The 21,252-nt window shown below is 48.1% G+C and overlaps 1 protein-coding gene across 2 annotated transcripts in view, besides 1 other annotated feature; it reads right to left on the bottom strand.

Moving 5' to 3' along the window:
* The window catches only part of PPP5C (protein phosphatase 5 catalytic subunit), a 43,889-nt gene that overhangs the window by 16,565 nt on the left and 6,072 nt on the right, over nucleotides 1–21,252 (bottom strand). For both annotated transcript variants that reach the window (NM_006247.4, NM_001204284.2), the window contains exon 2: nucleotides 20,422–20,663. In NM_006247.4, coding sequence (NP_006238.1) covers nucleotides 20,422–20,663 — 242 coding nt within the window. The remainder of the gene's footprint in view (nucleotides 1–20,421; nucleotides 20,664–21,252) is intronic.
* Nucleotides 17,468–17,557: a silencer, noted in NCBI's record as "silent region_10811". NCBI's record gives its function as "represses an Ori minimal core promoter by ATAC-STARR-seq in GM12878 lymphoblastoid cells {active_cell/tissue: GM12878}" and the evidence as "EXISTENCE:reporter gene assay evidence [ECO:0000049][PMID:35858748]".

Raw genomic sequence — 21,252 nt, 5'->3', positions numbered from 1 at the left:
GAGCAGACCCCCGTATCTCCTGTGCCAGAGGACAGACTGGGAGGTCCCAGGGCCGGCCCTCAAGGAGCAGGGGTGGCCTCTGGTGGAAAGCCTGGCAGCGTGACTCAGAAACCTCCACAGAGACACCCACTGACCCCTGCAGGTTGGTGTGACAGAAGCAGGGGGTGAGGCTCATCCATGCTGGAAACAGGTGTGTGCGCCAAGCGGGGTGAGAAGAGCCCAGGCCCAGCAGGCCACGGCCTCCTCCCTGTCTGGGCAGGCCTAGGGCACCCTGCCAGGCAGCTCCACCTGGGCTGTGGGTGGGTGTAAGGCAGGGGAGGAAGACAGTGCCAGGCAGCCCCTGGCATCCTTCCCAATGAGGAGTGGTTATGTGCCCACACCCGGCTGGCATCCAAACCAGCATGTGGCCTGGCCCATGCGGCTCCTCCCACCCCTCTATACCTCCCAGCCAGACCACTCATGTCCCCGGCATGCTGGCTCCAGGCCTTTATGCAGGCTGCCTCTGCCCAGAGCACCTCATTTGCACCTCCAGCTCCTCCTCCAGGTCTCAGCCCCACTGATCCCTCCTCTAGGAAGCCCCAGAGGCTGGGTCAGGCACCCCCTCTGGGCTCCCAAAGGCCCCTGGGCTCCCTTGTTCCAGCCGTGAGCCCTGCTGGTTCGGAACCGGTCTGTCCACCCCGCTGGAAGGTGGCCCTGTGAGGGCAGGGCTGAGGCTCAGCCATAGCTGTGCGTGCAGCAGTCAATGAATTTCCCTTCCCCCCTTTCTCCAAAGAAATGAATGAGTGACTGAGCATTTCCTCCCCGCCAGTCTCCTGTTCTCCAGGGGTGGGCGGGCTGGGAAGGCAGATGAAGGCAAACAATGACAGCGCAGGGAGGAGAAAGGGAGTGGGAATACCAACAGTGGCAGCGGCAACAATAATAATACACAGCTCACTTCTAGAGCACTTACTATGTGCCTAATATTGTGTAAGCAATTCACTTGCTCATTTATCCTCCATGCACCTCTACATGGCAGTGTTTTCACAATCCTCATCTGACAGACAAGAAAACCAAGGCCCGGGGAGGTGAAGTCACCCACCCAGGAAGCCAGGATTCCCTTCTCTCCCAGGCGAAACTGCGCCAAAGCCCAGGCTCCTGATTTCCGCTATGCACGCTGGGATGGGCTCCCCTTCCACCACCTCCCCTCCCTGCCTGGGCCTCTCGTCCCTGGGGCACACTGCATGCCCTCCAGGGAGGCAGCGTGGGGCAGTGGTTATGAGCCTGGGCTCTGGGACTAGGCCTCCTGGGTCTGAATCCAGGCCTGCCAGGACAGGCGGCCTCACATCTCAAGCCTCCCTCAGTTTCTAGAAAGTAGGGGTGGTGCCAGCACCCCCTGGAGGATTGTCGTGAGAACTTAATGCCAGGCAGCAGCAGGCAAGTGCTCATCCCAAGGCCTGCTGCTACTGTAGCTGCTGCGACACGCAAGGTCTAGCTGGGACAGTGAAGATGCCCTGCTGGGCTCCTGCTCCTGAGGAAGGTCATTCAGTCCAGACCAGAAGGGACTCAGCTCCTGAAGGCCCACCGGGTCAGAACTTCACACTGAACTTTTTTTTTAAAGTGGCAGTTGGATTGTATCAAGGTCAGTATTCTGACTGTGATATTTATGTAGTTATGCCAGATATACCTTTAGGGAAAACTGGGATTTCTGCATTACTTCTTACAACTGCAGGTGAATCCACAGTGCTAAGTAAACAAGTTGTTTCTAAAAGCATTATCTTCGTCAGCGAGTACTCATGGGTAATGATGTCTGGAGCTGGTGAAATGGTAACACAGGTTCACAATCCCCGAAGAAGCCCTGGGGGCTGCGTGTATTTGGGGATTGGGAATTTTTTGGATTTTAGTAAGGTGATTTGGTAGATGGCCGGGTGTGGTGGCTCACACCTATAATCCCACCACTGTGGGAGGCTGAGGTGGGAGGATCACTTGAGCTCAGGAGTTCAAGACCAGCCTGGACAACATAGTGAGTCCCTATCTCTAGAAAAAAATAACAACAACAACAAAAAGCTAGCCAGGTATGGTGGTGCATGCCTGTAGTCCCAGCTACTTTGGGGGGCTGAGGTGGGAGGATTGCTTGAGCCCAGGTAAGGCTGCAGTGAGTCATGATTGTGCCATCACACTCCAGCCTGGGTAACACAGTGAGATTCTGTCTCAAAAAAAAACCAAAACAAAACAATACAAAAAAACCCACATGATTTTGTGTACATGCTCTATCATAGGACACCCCCAGCAGGTCCAAGGCAGTACCTAGTAATCACAAGCACATACACGGCCATTTCTGCAGCAAAACCTCCAGACATGCCACTGGAGAGTAATCAAGACCATCAGCAGCTTCTTAGTAGTTCAGGTCAGGTTTTGCCACTGAACGAGCTGCCCAAACTTACCAGAACAACTGTTCTTCAGAACTGCTTGGGTTTTAAAACTAAGGGTGAGGGATTATAGAGCAGCATCAAGATCCCACATGGAGTGGACCCACAGTACAAGGTGTAACAGGGCATTCTGAATATCTCCAACATGCAGACAATGAGCAGCAGCCCAGAAGGGAGCCGTGCCTGCCTGAGGCATGCAGGCAGCTGGGGGAAGTCAGGTTTCCAGGGCAGGAAATGCCGCTGCTAGTGACAGCCTGAAGCCTGACATAAGGGTTTTTACCCTAGTGGGTTAGTTTCTGGTGAATGAGTTTGGCAAGTCATACCCAGCATTCTCTGTATAATAAGTCAGAGAGACCACCAAGGTGCACTGCCTGAGCTAAGGGTGAGTGCTGTGCCGAGAAACTCGGACCCGCTGCGCCTGCCCTGCTTATGGCCTGACTCTGGGACAAAGCTGCCACCTCCTGGCTGTGCAACCTCAGTGGAGTGAGCTACCCTCTGGGCCTTGGTTTCCTCACCTATAAACCAGGGACAAAGAGAGTCTCCACTGCGCAGGGTAGCCGTGAAGATGAAATGAGTTATATTACTGCATGAAGGTCACACCCTGGGCCCTGGCGAGCGCTGGATGAAATAGTGGTTGTGACTATTCCTGTTACTTTCACAGATCCATGCTGTAGGTGTACAGGCACTAGTATCCGCTTGCAAGGCAACACGCATTTCTAACTGACTGTGCTGGACTCTGATGTAAGGAACCCAAAGCCACAGAACAAAAATCAGGAGATCCCAGGAAGGGCCAGGGAGCACAGAGGGAGTCCCCCAGATCCGGCCTAGGTTTGCACCCAAGTTCCAAGCATAGACAGGAAAGAACATAGGTGGTGTCTTCCGGAAAAGGACCCCGTGAGGGACATCCATCATGAGAGTCAGGGTTCTCCAGAGAGACAGAACTAATGAGAGAGACACACACACACAGGCTGGACGTGGTGGCTCACGCCTGTAATCCCAGCACTTTGGGAGGCCGAGGTGGGCGGATCATGAGGTCAGGAGATCAAGACCATCCTGGCTAACATAGTGAAACCCCATCTCTACTAAAAATATAAAAAATTAGCTGGACGCAGTGGCGGGCACCTGTAGTCCCAGGTACTAGAGAGGCTGAAGCAGGAGAATGGTATGAACCCGGGAGGCGGAGCTTGCAGTGAGCCGAGATCCCGCCACTGCACTCCAGCATGGGCGACAGAGCAAGACCCATCTCAAAAAAAAAAGAGAGAGACATACACACAGTCATGAGCTGTATAATGATGTTTAGTCAGCAGTGGCCCACATATACAAGTGTGGTCCCAGAAGATAAACACACTGAAATAGTCCTATTGCCTGGTGACAGCACAGCCATGGGAATGTCTCAGCACAACGCCATTACTCACACAAATCCATGACGAAAAAAGAAGCCAAGCGAACCACCATGGACATTTTTCTGAAAAGAACCACACCTTCTCAAGGGCCTCACGCAGGTCCTTCAGGGGTATCCAGAAGGCACTGTCACCCTAGATGACAGCTCCATGCGTGTGACAGCCCCAGAGGACCTTCCAGTGGGACACGGTGTGGAGGTGGGAGACAGTGATACTGATCTCCTGACCCTGCGTAGGCCTAGGCTAATGTCTGCGTTTGTGTCTTCGTTTTTAACAAAAAAGTTTAAAAAGCAAAAGAAATATTTTTTCAACAGAAAAAAGCTTACAGAATAAGGATATAAAGAAAATATTTTTGTACAGGTGTATATGTGTGTTTTAAGCTAAGTGTTATTACAACAAAGTGAGAAAGTTTTAAAAAATTAAAAAGTTTATAAAGTAAGTTACAGTAAGCTAAGGTTAATTTATTATTGAAGAACCAAAAACTTTTAAAAATAAATTTAATATAATCTAGTGTACAGTGTTTATGAAGCCTACAGACATACACATTACTGTCCTAGCCTTACATTCACTCACCACTCACGCACTGACTCACCCAGTGAAACTTCCAGTCCTGCAAGCTCTATTCATGGTAAGTGCCCTAAACAGGTGTACTAGATTTTATCTTTTTTTTTTTTTTTTTCCAGACGGAGTCTCGCTCTGCTGCCCAGGCTGGAGTGCAATGGCTTGATCTCGGCTCACTGTAACCTCCGCCTCCCGGGTTCAAGCAATTCTCCTGCCTCAGCCTCCCGAGTAGCTGGGATTACAGGAGCATGCCACCACGCCTGGCTAATTTTTGTATTTTTAGTAGAGATGGGGTTTCACCATCTTGGCCAGGCTGGTCCTGAACTCCTGACCTCGTGATCTGCCCGCCTCAGACTCCTAAAGTGCTGGGATTACAGGCGTGAGCCACCATGCCTGGCCTTTTTTTTTTTTTTGAGACAGAGTCTCGCCCTGTCACCCAGGCTGGGGTGCAGTGGCGCAATGTCCGCTCACTGCAAGCTCTGCCTCCCGGGTTCACGCCATTCTCCTGCCTCAGCCCCCAGAGTGGCTAGGACTACAGGCACCTGCCACCACGCCCGGCTAATTTTTTGTATATTTAGTAGAGACGGTGTTTCACCGTGTTGGCCAGGATGGTCTTGATCTCCTGACCTCGTGATCCACCCGCCTCGGCCTCCCAAAGTGCTGGGATTACAGGTGTAAGCCATGACTTTACCATCCCTTTTCTACGTTCAGATGCATAAATACTTACTGTTTTGCTACAGTTGCCACAGCATTCACTAAAGTAACATGCTGTACAGGCGTGTAGCCTAGGAGCACTCGGCCATGCCACATAACCTAGGTGTGTATGCAGTAAGCTGTAACATCGAGGTTTGTGTAAGCACACTCTATGATGCTCACACAATGAAATCACCTAACAACACACTTCTCAAAAACTACCCCTTGTTAAGCAATGCATGACTATACCTATGCATGTGGATATATATGAGAGGGTGTTTATTAGGAGAATTGCCTCACTCCACACTGTCTTACCAATAAGTACAGAGTAGCTGCTTCATGCTCACTAGGTCCAATTAGTAAAATGCCATCAGTGTCGTGGACCAGTGTGATAGCTTGCAGAAGGGAAGGGTGATCAAGATCCCCATGAAGGAATACTACTTTACCCGTAAACAAGAGCAAAATAATGTCTTTTGTAGACTTGGATGGAGTTGGAGGCCATTATTCTAAGTGAAATAACTCACTAATGGAAAATAAAACACTCTATGTTCTCACTTGTAAGTGGAAGCTAAGCTATGGGTATGCAAGGCATACAGAGTGGTATAATGGAAACTGGAGACCTAGAAGGGGGAGAGTGGGAGGGGTGAGGGGTAAAATCTATGTACTGGGTGCACTGTACAGTACTCGGGTGACGGGTACACTAAGATCTCAGACTCTGCCACTATACAGTTCATCCCTGTTATACAGTTCATCCATGCCACTAAAACCACGGGTACCCCCAAAGCTATTAAAATAAAAAGGTAACAAATTAATAAAAATTTCATTAATTTTTTAAAAAGAAAAGATCCCTGTGAAGGAAACTGTAACCCAGGGCTGAAGGACTGATATGTCCCTGAGGCAGGCAGCAAGGGTGTGGCACTGGCCTTGCCAACTGAAAGCAAACTGCTTCTGGTGGGTCTTACGGACAGGGATGGAGAAAGGACACTCGCCACGAGTAGCTGCATGGCAGGTCCAGGAGATGCGTTCACCTGCTCAAGCAATGAAACCGCATGGTACAGCAGCTGCAACTGGGGTCACCACCTGGTGAAGCTTACGATAATCCCCTGCCATTCTCCAGGATGCAGCCGTCTTCTGCATAGGCCAAACAGGAGAGTGAAGTGGGGGTGTGGTAAGGCTCTCCACCCCTGCAGCTTTCAAGTCTCTGATGGTGGCACTAATCTCTACAATCTCTCCAGGGATGTGCTGCTGTTTTGATTTACAATTTTCCTAGGTAGAGGCAGCTCTATGGCTTCCATTTAGCCTTTCCCACCATAATGGCCCTTACTCCACAGCTTAGGGAACCAACGTGGGGATTTTCCGCCAGCTGCTGAGTACATTTATTCCAATTGTGCAGCTGGAACGGGGGAAATGACCACAGGAGGGGTCCAGGGACCAACTCAACCCACTGAGAGTCGGACCTGAGCTAAAACTCCATTCATCACCAGGCCCCCATAAGCCCTTATTCTGACTGGGGCGCAACAGTCAGATTATTCTAATTGTGGATTTGCTTCTGTGTCCATGACAGACATCTTGCCTTCAGCAGCTGAGTGCTGACACTTGGTCCCTGCCTCTCCAGGATCTAATTGTTCCCACTGCATGTAAGTTTTCCAACTGAGTGACTGCGGTTCCCACCGTAAGGTCCAGCTTGCAGAGAGGAGCAACCAGGGATGCCGGGGCCCCCTCATAAATCTGCTTCTCAAAGTATTGGTGAAAGGTGTGTTCTCTGGACCCTCCAGTGTGGGTGAGTGGGTTTTAAGTTACAAATCCACTCAAGCATTACAATTTCCCTAAGCCTTTGATTCCCCGTCCTCTATGTTAAACCAAGAGAGACCGGGCATCTCCAGCTCACTCCTGGTGGGCCACCTTCTGATCCCTGCTTCAAACTGTCAGCATCTTCTCAAACTCCCCAAGCAGCAACATTACATGCAGAATCTGGGGAAGATGTTGGTGTGACTCTGCAGTTCTAGCCAAGGGAGAAATACGCTGGTACAGTGATTATAAATTTTATTTCTCTCTTTCTTTCTCCTACCTGATGTAATGGTCCTAGCACCAAGGCTCTATCTACCAGCACCAAGTGCTGGAAGCAGGGATAATTCCTAAGAAACCGTAACTATGTTTTTAAACCTTCTGTCAGAATTCCCAAGGGCCGGATGGGAGTGGGTTGTGCTTTCACACCATCTGGTGAAACTGGGGCTAACAGTGAATGCAGTTATATAGCCTGCTGATAAAAATAGCCCACTAGTCCCGCACCTATGTAACCACACCCTATCTGAATGGAAGTGATCTAAGAGGAGGCATGTGCTAGATTACTTTGCTGCCTACGACCTAGATCCAGCACAGTGGCCAATTCCAATGTCCCTTCGAAAAGGGTGGGTATGAGAAAGAAAAGTTATATGGTGAGCCCCTTTAAATGATCAGGCCCAGAGAGGCACTGGAATAGGACAGCAGTCATATCCCACTTCTCACTTAAGAGAAGTACTCATCGCCTGAAGCCACGTGCTACGTGGACTCTAGACTGCCACCAACCACAGACACCGTAACTCACACCCTCTAGTTCCACAATGGATGGGCAATTATTAATCAATGTTATTTCTGTAAACCAATGATATTTCCTGCAAAACCCCTTTTATAATCACCCCTCTTCTCATTTGTCCTTTTTTTCTTTAAAAGCTCAAGCAGGCCATGCATGGTGCCTCACACCTGTAATCCTGGCACTTCGGGAGGCTGAGGCAGAAGTCCAGGAGTTCGAGATCAGCCTGGGGAACACAGCAAGACCCCATCTCTACGATAAAGAAAAAAATTAGCCAGGCACGGTGGCATGCACTTGCAGTCCCAGCTACTTGGGAGGCTGAGGTGGGAGGATCACTTGAGCCCAGGAGTTTGAGGCTGCAGTGAGCAATGATGGTGCCACTGCACTCTAGCCTGGGTGACAGAGTAAAATTCTGTCTCTAAAAAAAAAACAAAAACCACAAGCCTCTCCCTTGTTCTCCAGTGCTCTTCCCAAGGTAACTTAAAGTGTTTCCAGGGCTGCAATTCTCTCAACCCTGGCCCAAATAAACTCTGTCTATGTTAATTTTGCCTCAGTTTCTTCGGTTATGTCAATGTTTTTTGGCCCTGTGAGCAGGGTTCAGAGCTACCCACTCAGACACTGGGTGCCCCTGGACTCGATGCTCAGTACCAGAACAAACCCACTGTGTTCCTCCAATTCCACAGGTTCACTGGGGGCAAAAGGGTGAGTGCTCCTGAATCTGGACCCCCTCTCTTGTCAGATGAGGTCTAGACTTTATTTGAGTGGTTCTATCTCTCTTTTTCTAGAATGAAGGTTTCCATCTTTGTCTATGAGCAAGGGATTCGAGTTTCAGGGGGAAAAAAAGAAAACTGCCTTCTCCACCGCTGCTTCACAGCAGGAGGCCCGGGTCACAGTACTGGCATTCTGGCACTGGTGGCTGCACTTCTGGGCTGAAATTAGACAGCATGCTTTTTAAATTGCAGCTGCTTCTGACTAAGCTGCATGAGGGTAAGTCATCTTGCCTCAAAGAGAAGAGAAAATTGCCCCCTTTGACCCACTGGATTCTTTAGGCAACCAGAGACTTTGCAGAGGTATGGGGATGTTTTTCCATGCATGACGTGTTGGAGTCTTAAAGGGCCTCCCATTAGGAAGAAGACCAGTAAGGACTCTTGCTCAGCTGGAAAGGTATGAATAAGGGACTGGTCACTCTGATACCTGAAGCACTCTGCTGCCACAAGGTGATAAGAGATTCCAAGACACATAAGAACATGCCTCACGATTCACTGGTGACACCTGGAAGAGTGACACCCACAAAGCGGCACACCTCGACGCAATATACTGTCCTGGCCTTGGTCACTTTTGAGAAGGAAATTCTAAAATTATAGGAGGCTGGGTGTGTGGCTCACGCCTGTAATCCCAGCACTTTGGGAGGCTGAGACAGGTGGATCACTTGAGGTCAGGCATTTGAAACCAGCCTAGCCAACATCGTGAAACCCCGCCTCTACTAAAAACACAAACATTAGCTGGGCATGGTGGCTCACGCTTGTAATCCCAGCACTTTGGGAGGCCGAGGTGGGCAGATTACTTGAGGTCAGGAGTTCAAAACCTGCCTGGCCAACATCATGAAACCCCGTTTCCACTAAAAACACAAAAAGTAGCTGGGCGTGGTGGCTCATGCCTGTAATCCCAGCTACTTGGGAGACCGAGGCAAGAGAGTTGCTTGAACCCAGGAGGCGGAGGTTGCAGGGAGCTGAGATTGCGCCACTGCACCCCAGGCTGGGTGACAGAGCAAGACTCCATCTCAAATAAATAAATAAATAAAATTATAGGAAACTGCTCATTGAAACTGAGCTTTGCCTTAAAGGACAGCCCCCCCGCCCCGGCCCCGAAACACCAGCTGGATTTATGTCTAATACCTATGGAGCGCCATCCTGCAAATACCTAGGTAAATGGACCCAGCGGCGTGAGATACCCCAAAGTGCAATGGCCCAAATGAGGGTCTTGAAATTCCTAAATTAATGTATTTGTGCACACAATTGGAAAAGGCAGGATTTAGAACCAGACAAATCGAATGGAGACCTACTTCCTATTTGTCCTGGCTGCAATCTCATAAGAGATTTGAAAGGTACAATTATTTTTTTTTTAGGAAACTCCCCCAGAAAACCCTTTAAATGCTCCAACTGTCTGCTGAACTTTGCTGCAAGATTTACAAAAGACAAATAGCTTTAAATAATGATTACCCTAGACCTCTAATAAACAAATATGACCCACCTCCCAAAGCAAACTCCTTGATGTGAATTTCAGAAAGGGAAAGCCAAGGAACAGATAGGTTTGCTATCTGTTTAAAAACATTTTTTTGAGACTAGAGAAGAGGTCTTGCCATGTTGCCCAGGATTCTGGCCTCAAGTGATCTTCCTGCCTCGGTCTCCCAAAATACTGGGATTACAGGGGTGAGCCACTGCATCTGGCCGAATGTTTACTATCTGCCTGGCTAAAACCTGATTAAAAGTTTTTAAAGAGCTCTATAGTCAAAAGCTGACTTGATTAAAAGCTGATATTTGGCTACATATGTATGCACACACATACACACACACACGTATATATATATTTTTTGATGCCTCTGTTCTCTCTGATTTCCTCTCTTCTCAAACTGCTCCTAATTATACACAATCCCTCTTTCTTCTTGTTGACATGATTTTTGCCAAGGATAATGTAAAACTTAATTGCTTTATGGAAAACAAGATCTCCTTGACTGGCTCCTCTAAGTCCTGTTCTTTGATGTACCGCTGTCTGTCCCTCCTTCCTCTTGCCACCTTTGGTATCACATGAGTGAACCTCTGTTTATCCTCATGGAGCCCCAAGCATTGTGGGTAAACAGGCTCCTCTCAGGTCTAAAGCTCTATTCTCTTTTACATAGAGCTCCTTGATCTCTGTAACTTGTCGATACATACATGTGTACATGTGTGCTATATGTTGTGTCTACATATATGTTATGTCTATACATGTTTTTGTATATTATCTACATGATACAAAATTAAAGACAAACGAGCACTCACAAATTAGAAGGTAAACCGAGGCCAGGTGCAGTGGCTCATGCCTGTAATCCCAGCACTTTGGGAGGCTGAGCGGGGGCAGATCACAAGGTCAGGAGATCGAGACCATCTGGCCAACATGGTGAAACCCCATCTCTACTAAAAGTATGAAAAAATTAGGTGGATGTGGTGGTGCGTGCCTGCAATCCCAGCTACTTGGAGGCTGAGGCAGGAGAATCGCTTGAAACTGGGAGGCAGAGATTGCAGTGAGCCGAGATCGCGCCACTGCTCTCCAGCCTGGCGACAGAGTGAGACTCCGTCTGAAAAAGAAAAAAATAAAGAAAGTAAGCCCAAAGATTTTCCAAGTTCACATGACCTGAGTAAATCAGTAAATCTTTTGGCAAATAAAACTAGTTTAAAATTGTTTTTTTTTTTTTTTTTTTTTTTTTTTTTTTTTTTTTTTTGAGATGGAGTCTCGCTCTGTCGCCCAGGCTGGAGTGCAGTGGCGGGATCTCGGCTCACTGCAAGCTCCGCCTCCCGGGTTCACGCCATTCTCCTGCCTCAGCCTCCCAAGTAGCTGGGACTACAGGCGCCCGCCACCATGCCCAGCTAATTGTTTGTATTTTTAGTAGAGACGGGGTTTCACCGTTTTAGCCGGGATGGTTTTAATAAAAACTATGTCGGCGGCCCGGGGCAGTGGCTCATGCCTGTAATCCCAGCACTTTGGGAGGCCAAGGCAGGCGGATCACGAGGTCAGGAGATCGAGACCATCCTGGCTAACACGGTGAAACCCCATCTCTACTAAAAATACAAAAAATTAGCCGGGTGTGGTGGCGGGCGCCTGTAGTCCCAGGTACTCGGGAGGCTGAGGCAGGGGAATGGCATGAACCTGGGCGGCGGAGCTTGCAGTGAGCCGAGATCGCGCCACTGCACTCCAGCCTGGGCGACAGAGTGAGACCCCATCTCAAAAAAAATAAAAATAAAAAATAAAAATAAATAAATAAAAACTATGTTTTCTGAGTTACCAGCAAAATATGTATGTATCTAACTTTAAGGTTCTTACTTCTATGATACTTGCCTAACGTACAATAATAAAAAATGGTTAATAGAAAATTTAACTTGAGATGATGGTTGGATTTGTCTGTCTCACGAAATTTTCCCAACAATCACTAAAAATGAATAAATTAAATACATATAAATAGAATCAACTTTATAAATGAACTTTTAATAATAATTATGTTTTATAATATGCCTACTTAAAAAGGTTTCTCAAATCTTTTGGTAATTATGCCCTTAGGGTTTTACTAAGCTAAATTAATGACAAATATTCATTGAATATCTAGATCATTTCCAAATAAGAGATGATGCTAAGACAGTAACTACTAAATATGGCTTCTGACTTCTTATTTTAGAGAAACAAAAGATACTGAGATCTGTTAGGAAAAATGTCCTGTTCCATTGAAAAATTGTTCCATTAGAAACCCTATATTTCTAAAAATTATAAAGATGGCATCATAAATTACTGCTACATGACTAACAGTTAAAAATTGCTTGCTTCTTAGGTTTTTGCTATGAATTACGGTCACTAAGAGTTAAAATTCTAATATGTGATAACCAAGAGAAACAATTCTGTATACAGAACGTCTAAGATGTGGTTTTGGTAAGGAAGGTTATACACAAGACAGAGGATGTGGTTTTGTTAAAGGAAAAGCAATTTTACTTAGTTTAGAGGTAAAGGTTGTATTAAATTGAAGGAATAAAAGAAAGAAAAAATGAGATAAACTGAATAGATATGGAAAGTAGGGAGAAAAAAGAATGGAAAAATTTGTAAATTACAAAAGATTCATGGAAATCTTATTTTGTATGGTCAAAGCTGATTGAGATTGGATAGATTTGTTTATAAGGTTTTATTAAAATTAGCTTTACCATAAATAATACATTGATGCAAAGGAAGAATTTGTTTTTCTCTTTTGAGCAAAATTTTGGTATAGTATTTTTTTTTTTTTTTGAGACGGAGTCTGGCTCTGTCGCCAGGCTAGAGTGCAATGGCACGATCTTGCCTCACTGCAGCCTCCACCTCCCGGATTCAAGTGATTTTCCTGTCTCAGCCTCCCGAGTAGGTGGGACTACAGGCACATGCCACCAAGCCCGGCTAATTTTTTTTTTTTTTTTTTTTTTTTTTAATTTTTAGTAGAGACAGGGTTTCACCGTGTTGGTCAGGATGGTCTCGATCTCTTGACCTCATGATCCGCCTGCCTCAGTCTCCCAAAGTGCTGGGATTACAGGAGTGAGCCACCATGCCCGGCTGGTGTAGTATTAGTAAAAGATAATAAAAGATTTTTCAGCCAGGCGCAGTGGCTCACGCCTGTAATCCCAGCACTTTGGGAGGCCGAGGCGGGCGGATCATGAGGTCAAGAGATTGAGACCATCCTGGCTAACACAGTGAAACCCCGTCTCTCATAAAAATACAAAAAATACGCTGGGCGTGGTAGCAGGCACCTGTAGTCACAGCTACTCAGGAGGCTGAGGCAGGAGAATGGGGTGAATCCGGGAGGTGGAGCTTGCAGCGAGTGGAGATTGCACCACTGCACTCCAGCCTGGGCGACAGAGTGAGACTCCGTCTCAAAAAAAAAAAAAAAAAATTTTCTTTCACTTATCTTTTGGGTAAATTGCAAAACACAAAACAAAACAAAAATCCCAAAAAACAAACAAACAAACAACACAGAAAAAACAAAAAAGGGGAGAGGGAGAGAAAGATTCTGTTGCTCTTATGCTGTCTTTATTAGGTCTTTTGATTATTTGGGAAACTGAGTCTCCTCTCTACCAAAGAGTAAAGGTTTTTGCTTTTTGAAATCTTCTAATTAACACTTTGGCTAAATGAATGACTATATTATTTCACAGTGATGTGTGATCCTATTTTGATTAAGTGTTTCAAACCTTTGATGCATTTGTAGGGTTTACAAAACCAAATTTCAGGGCTGGGCGTGGTGGCTAACACATGTAATCCTGGCACTTTGGGAGGCTGAAGCTGATCACTTGAGGCTAGTTCAAGACCACCTTGGCCAACATAGCAAAACCCTGTCTCTACAAAAAATACAAAAAAATTAGCGGGGTGTGGTGGCACATGCCTGTAATCCCAGCTACTTGGGAGGCTGAGGCACAAGAATCAATTGAGCCCAGGAGGCCGTGGTTGCAGTGAGCCAAGATTGTGCCAATGCACTCCAGCCTGGGCAACACAGTGAGACTTTGTCTCCAAAAAAGAAAAAAAAAAAAAGAAAAATCTAATTTCAAAGAAAAATCTAATTTCAAATTCTAAAATTAAGTCTTTTTGACCTCGAACTAACTTCTGGATGTCAGGGACCCCGGAAGACCAAGAGAGACATATTAGGCTTATCTGGGATGTTAAAAACCATATGGGAAGTATTGTCACGTAGGAAATGGTGCTGATCTTTTTTGTTATATTTGTATGGGTCTCATTAATATATGTTCCAAAATTGTACAGATTTCTAAAAAAGAAACTATGTCCTCGTATATGTTATCAGTTATTAATTATGATTATTATGTTAAATTATATGCTGCAGAAATAGCCAAATTTCCTGGTCAATTGAGTCTTTAACCATGGCTGTTCTAAGTCCTCTGTCATACACAGGCAATTATTGTTTTACTTTAATTCTTCTCAAAAAGTATCTTACAGGCCGGGTGCAGTGGCTCAGGCCTGTAATCCCAGCACTCTGTGAGGCCGAGGCAGGTGGATCACCTGAGGTCAGGAGTTCAAGACCAGCCTGGCCAACGTGGTGAAACCCCGTCTCTAGTAAAAATACAAAAATTAGCCAGGTGTGTGGCAGGTGCCTGTAATCCCAGCTACTCAGGAGGCTGAAGCAGGAGAATCACTTGAACCCAGGAGGCAGAAGTTGCAGTGAGCCGAGTTTGCGCCATTGCACTCCTGCCTGGGCAACAAGAGGAAAACTCCGCCTCAAAAAAAAAAAAAAAAAAAGTCTAATCCGAAATTCCTCATTTTCCGGGAAAGCCAACTTAAAAGGAGTCTATATGGTCAGTCACTAATCTTGCTGTACTTTATGCAAATAAAGTATAACACTAAAACTTATTTTGAGAATAAATTGGTCTTGCTATTATTAGTGTCTTTGGTAAAACTGGGGGACTGGAAAGGAAAAATGATGCTTCAGTTGCACATCTGTGTTTAGATTCTAGCCCTGACCACTGTTTTTGGGTTTTTATTACTTGCCTACAGTTTGTACTGAATCTTGAATTCTATCTTGGCTACAGTAAGTCCCCAAAGCAGAAGCTGGGTTTCATTTTCCTCATGTTTTTAGCTGGCTCCCTAATTGGAAAAGGCTCTTTTTTTCATTCTGGCATATACATTCTTGTTTTCATTATAATCCTTATGTGCATTATATTTCTACTATTTAAATTACTAATCTTCTTGTTTTACTTCCGAGAAAATGAAAATCATGGTATTCTGAAGACTAGAGATGATTGGACACAGAGACGCAGCTGTATAAATCAGTGACTTGATTCAGGTCTTCTTTTTGCCACTCTGTGAGGCCATCCTACTTCAGCTTTTGGACACACTGAAAATTCCTCACTGAGCCATCTCCTTCCCCCTCCCCAACATAGAACAGGCCTGTCCTAAAGTGAGCCTTCCTAGTGACGAGGGACACCCTGACACTCAGACTCTGATCAATGCTTTTAAAAAGAAAGATTTTGACCAAAAGGGAAAAATGAGAAAGAAAAGAAACTTTTCCTTGAGTAATGCAAACCCCCTTTAAATGATTGAGCCTAGAGAGGAACTGGAATGAGGGAGCAGTCATGTCCCACTCCCCATCTTGAGAAAAACTCATCCCCCGAAGCCACTGACCCTGTGGACTCAAGAGTAAGAGTCCAGAGACAGCTACACATCAACCTCACAATGCCATACACGGATGCCATCACTTACACCCTGTAATTTAATAACGCAGAGCCAATTACTGATCAATGTTATTTTTTAAACCAATGAGAATTCCTGAAAGACACCCTTTGTAATCACTCCTCCCCGATTTATCCTTTTGTCTTTAAACGCTTGAGCTTATCTGTTCTCTGGAGCACTTCCCGAGATAACCTGAGGCTCCCAGGCTGGTCCTCAACCTTGGCCCAAATAAAATCTCTACTTATATTAATTTTGCCTCAGTTTCTTCCTTTAGGACAACAGGTATAAATGAAGAAACGGAGGAACATTTACGAGGGTAAACGAATGAATAAATGAGTTATGAATTAAGAAATCTCCAGTATTACATTAACACTTTGAAAGAGGCTCAGAACAAGGGTGACATTGTCTCTTATCTCAATTATACCTAATGCCTGAAAGGGGGGAGCCATATATTTGCTGAGATCACGCCTGCTTTTGGAAATTGGCAAGACTGAATAGAAACCTGCAAACCTGACTGGTCTCACCCTGGGAGACATAATCATATAATATGATGAACTAATTATTAATGACCTAATGGAGTTCTAGTAACAAACTGGCCAGTAATACCTTTTGAGTTGTATATTCTTTGGATATGAGGGAACTGTGTTTGAAGACCACGGGTGGCCAGTGGTACTATGAAATACAGGTTTGATATTCATCATGTACTGTTTTCTGGCACATAACTCCTAAAATCTTTGGAATCTCCAAAGTGATGTGTCTTTTTGCATGCTCATGTGTTGACTAATGGCTAGCCACCCCTATGTAGCTTCAGGATGGGGGCTGGTCACTGGAATGACCAAAGTGGGCCTGTAAGGTTGGAATGTTTCAGCCCCACCCTCCAACCTCCGGGAGGGGAGAAGGGCTGAAGGTTAAGTTGATCACCAATGACCAATGGTATAATTAATCATGTCTACATAATGAAGCTTCCATAAAAACCCGAAAGGACTGGGTCCAGGGAGCTTCTGAATAGCTGAACACATGGAGGTTCCTGAAGAGTGGTGCTCCAGGAGAGGGCGCGGAAGCTCTGCACTCCATCCCACACGTTGCTCTGCGCATCTCATCTGTATCCTTTGTAGCAGCCTTTATAATAAGCTGGTAAATGTGTTTCTCTGAATTCCATGAGGGAGTTCTCTAGCAAATTAATTGAACCCAAGGAGTGGGTCACAGAAACCCTAATTAATAGCCAGTCAGTCAGAATCACCGGCAAAATAACCTAGGTCTTGTGATCAGCATCAGAAATAAGGGACAAGTGGGGACTAAGTCCTCAACCTGTGGAATCTAATGCTATCTCTGGACAGATAGTGTCAGAATTAATTCAATAAGAGAACACCCAGCTGGTGTCCACTGCAGAATCGACTGCTTGGTTGCCGGTAGGGAGAGACCTCCACTCCCTTTCGTGACCAGTGGTCACAGAAATTTTCTGTGTAACTGTTGACTGAGAGAATAGAAAAAACACTTTGGGGCCGGGTGCCATGGCTCATGCTTGTAAGCCCAGCCCTTTGGGAGGCTAAGGTGGGCAAATTCCTTAAGCCTAGGAGTTTGAGACCAGCCTGGGCAACATGGTGAAACCCCATCTCCACAAAAATTACACAAATTACCCGGGCTTGATGGCACACGCCTGTAGTCCCAGCTACTTGGGAGGCTGAGGTGGGAGGATCGCTTGAACCCAAGAGGCAGAGGTTGCAGTGAGCCAAGATTTGTGCCACTGCACTCCAGCCTGGGTGACAGAGCAAGACTCTCTCTCAAACAAAAAACAAAAAACAAAAACAAAGAAAAAACACTTTGGTTGTTATTCCTATATTCTCACCTCCTTTAACAGATGAGGACACTAAGGCTGAGAAAAAAGGCACTAGGAGCCATGCAGCTGCTACCCAATCTGAGCTGGCTGTGAACCTAGGCGTCCTGAGCCCAGAGCCTGCCCCATCTAGCCCCTGCACTGGTGACCGCAGACTCTCTGCCTGCAGCCCACATGTAAAATAGGGATTTTTATATCACATCCATCACTCATCTGTACTTGTGTAAATGAAAAGTCATTTCCACAAAACAATATTTATACACACTTCCTCCAAACAATGAACCGTTTTTAATTCTCTGTTTGATGAAGACAAAAGTGCTGAAGCTATTCAACTGATTGTGGCCCAGAAACAGTTACAAGCATGGACTAGGGGTTCAAGTCTCAGCTCTGCCACTTCCCTGCTGGGTGACCTTGGAGGAGGGACATCTCCTCTCTAGGCCTCAGTCTGAATTCAGGCTGAATTCAGGTGCACAAAGGGCTCCCAGCAGTGCTGGGCCCAGAGTGAGCAGACCGCTGAGGAAACCGAGGCTAAGGGGAGCTCCCCCGCCCAAGGCCAAGGTCACGTCTTTGCTCTGCTTCCCTGGCGAGCTTCTGGTCTAGGAGGAAACTCTAGCATCCAGCAAGCAGGAGGTAGAGTCTTGGGAAGATGAACTGCCCCAGGGCACATGGAGCCTGAAGAACTGCGCAGAAAGGAGCAAGGCTGAAGGCCTGCAGGCATATGGATGGCCTGATGACAGGTAAGCCCTCATGTTCATGTGGGGGTCCCCAATGCTGCTGGGAGAGCCCCCATGGGGAAATGGGCCATGACAATTTAGGTGCTGGGTATTCTGTAAAAGACTCTGAATTCCCCACCCCCTCAACCCTCCCTGCCATCCGCCAGGCCTGGGACACAGCTCAGACGTGGCACACCCACAAGATGGCTGAAGCCAACCAGCCCAGCCTCAGGGAGTATGCGGGGTTGGGAGTATGCGGGGTTGGGCCCTAGACTGGGCCAGAGTCTTGAAAAGCCTGCTCCTTACCCTGGGGAAAGACACTCTTGCAGCCCCACACTTGACGAAGACCCTGCCTGCAGCCCCTGCTCCTTACCCTGGGGAAAGATGCTCCTGCAGCCCCACACGAGATGAAGACCCTGCCCTAAACCTGTCCTTGGGGCTCCTCTCTTCTGCCCCACTGTCTCCCCAGGCCCCCTTCCCACCTGGAGCCCTGCCCCAACCCAACACCGACTGTCCTTGGTTACTCATTACTGAGCCCTGCAGCTCGTGACCTTTACTCAACCATGTCATCACAGCCACAGCCATCCGGAGGCGGCCACTCCTCTTGTCACCATTTTCTAGATTAGGACAGGAAGAGACAATGAGGGAGGGGCTTGGCCAAGAATGGCTTGGGAGCCCAAGCTGGGAAGGCCTCTGCTCTGCTGCCCCTGCCCCCACCCTTCTAGGTGTCGCCCTAACCCCCCGCCACATCTCTGCCCCCATCCTAACATGTGTCCCCTGGACTCATGCTTAGCTCAAGCCTTCACCTGGCCTGAAGTCCACCCTCCACCCCAGGCCAGCGGCCAACAGCCAGGACAGTGTCTGAGCTGGCTCCACCGACTGCAGACTCGTGCTTCTCAGCCCCGCGACCAACTGCAGACTCGCGGCTCCCAGCTCCCTGGTTGCCCCTCCCTACACGACACAAGCAGCTCCGAGTGTGATGGTTGCAAGGGAAGGAGGGAGTGAAGTGTGTCTGTGTCGGGGGGCAGGATAACAATCCTCTCGACACACACTGACCAAGCCCCCTGCTGCACCATCCCCATGCGCAGGACAAGCGCACGGCCCCGTCTCAGGGAGCGAACTCTGAGGTGGGAGAGATAAGGCCCTGAGGCCAGGCCTCCTGGGTTCAAATCCCAGCTCTGCTACTAACCAGGTGGGGGTCACTGGGCAGGTGACTTCACCCCTTAGGGACTGTTTCCTCATCTGTGCAAGGGGAGTAATCCCAGTTCCCACGTCCCAGGGTGCTGTAATGATTCAGCCAGCCTCCCTGAAGGAAGATGCAGAGCACACCTGGTGTGAAGGTGTGTGCTCGCTCTGCAGAGCCTCATACCGTCAGGATTTTCATTAGGTGGGTGAGGGCACTAGCGAATTCTCACTGTGCCCTAGGTCCCCTCCCTCATCAGCATATCACACATATCCTGTCTGCTGTCCCTGGCAGCATATCACCCTTCTTGTTTTTTTTTTTGAGACAGGGTCTCACTGTGTCGCCCAGGCTGGAGTGGAGTGGTGAGAGCATAGCTCACTGCGGCCTTGAGCTCCTGAGCTCAAGTAATCCTCTTGCCTCAGCCTCCTGAGTAGCTGGGACTAAAGGTGCGTGCCACCACGCTTGGCTAATTTTTGTATTTTTTGTAGAGATGAGGTCTCCTCCCTATGTGGCCCAGGCTTGTCTTAAACTCCTGGGCTCAAGCAATCCTCTCACCCTGGCCTCCCAAAGTGCTGGGATTACTGCCGTGAGCCACTGTGCCCGACTGCCCTTCCTCTTTTCTTCAAAGTGCAGATCCTCACCTGCAATTATTCTGCTAACCTATTCAGTGGTGGGTTTTCTGCCTGCCCCTGAAAGACAAGCTCCACCAGAAGAAGAGAGGCTGTGTGGCTCCTGTCCAGCACCAGCACTAACAATGACAGTAACCATCAGGTGAACCATCACAGGACACTGACCCCGGGCCAAGTACTGGTCTACTCGTGTGAAAGGCAAAAGCTCACTTTTCCTCACCGCTACCCTTGAGGCTGATCCTCTTGTTCTCCTCATTTCACGGATATGGAAAGGAAGGTGTGGCGAGGCGGGGTAACTGGCTCAGGGTCACAAAATGTGAGATGGCTGAGCAGAGCTGTGGCCTGGGTACTCTGGCCTGGGCCCAAGGCCCCACAGGCACTTGCTGGCTGGCTGAGTGGTAAGTAGAGGAGTGAATGGCTCCTCACACCCGTCCCCGCCAGCCCAGCCCTCAGTATCTGCCTGGCTCAGGTGCCAGGCCTGGCCCACTCCCCAGCTCACCGTCTCGTAGTCTCGCAGCGCGGCCCGGAACTTGCCCAGTGCCATGTTGCTGGCAGCCCGGCGGTAATAACCCTTGATGTACTTCTTGTCCAGCTCAATGGCCCGCGTGGCGTCTCCCAGCGCGTAGCCATAGCACTCAGTGCGCAGGTAGGCCAGGCTGCGGTTGCCATAGTAGATGGCATTGCTGGGGTTCAGCTCGATGGCCTGGCTGTAGAACTTGATGGCGTTCTCGTAGTCCTTGGCTGCGGAGACAGAAGAAGAGGCATGAGGCAGTGCTCCAACCCTGCGAGGACAGGCCCTGGGCTGGGTGACGCCCAGTCTCCCTGTTCACAGATGGGGAAGCTGAGGGCTACCCTGAGCCCAGAGACATCTCTTCAGCCTGCCCCTCCTGCCTGTCCCAACCAACCTAGCTCAGGGCTTGTCCTCTCGGCCACAGTCTCCAGGACTCCACACACCCGCCCACCCACCCCTCCAGCCCCAAGCTGGGCACTAGCAGCAGACTGAGGGAAGAGCACTCCGATAGCAAGAAGAGCAGGTGCAGAGGCCCAGAGGTGGTTGAGCCTTGTCTGAGGGCCAGTGAGAGCTGAGGCAGCTGGGTGGAGTGGGCAGGGGGAGGAGAGATGAGGCAGGGAGGCTGGTGGGACAGATCCCTGGGCCCCGGGCAGCCACAGTGAGGTCTGGACACTGATGTTCTAAGTGTGGAGTGACAGGATGTGACATCTGGCCAAGGAGGAGAGGTCGGATTTTATTTGAGATGAGCTATAGCTGTACCCTGCACTTTACCTCGTGACCTGTGGAATCCTCATGTCTCCACGGGAGTAAGGACCATCT

This window comes from Homo sapiens, chromosome 19 (assembly GCF_000001405.40).
Source record: "Homo sapiens chromosome 19, GRCh38.p14 Primary Assembly".
In the NCBI taxonomy this organism is placed as follows: Eukaryota; Metazoa; Chordata; class Mammalia; order Primates; family Hominidae; genus Homo; species Homo sapiens.
This window is presented reverse-complemented; position numbering and strand designations above follow the sequence as displayed.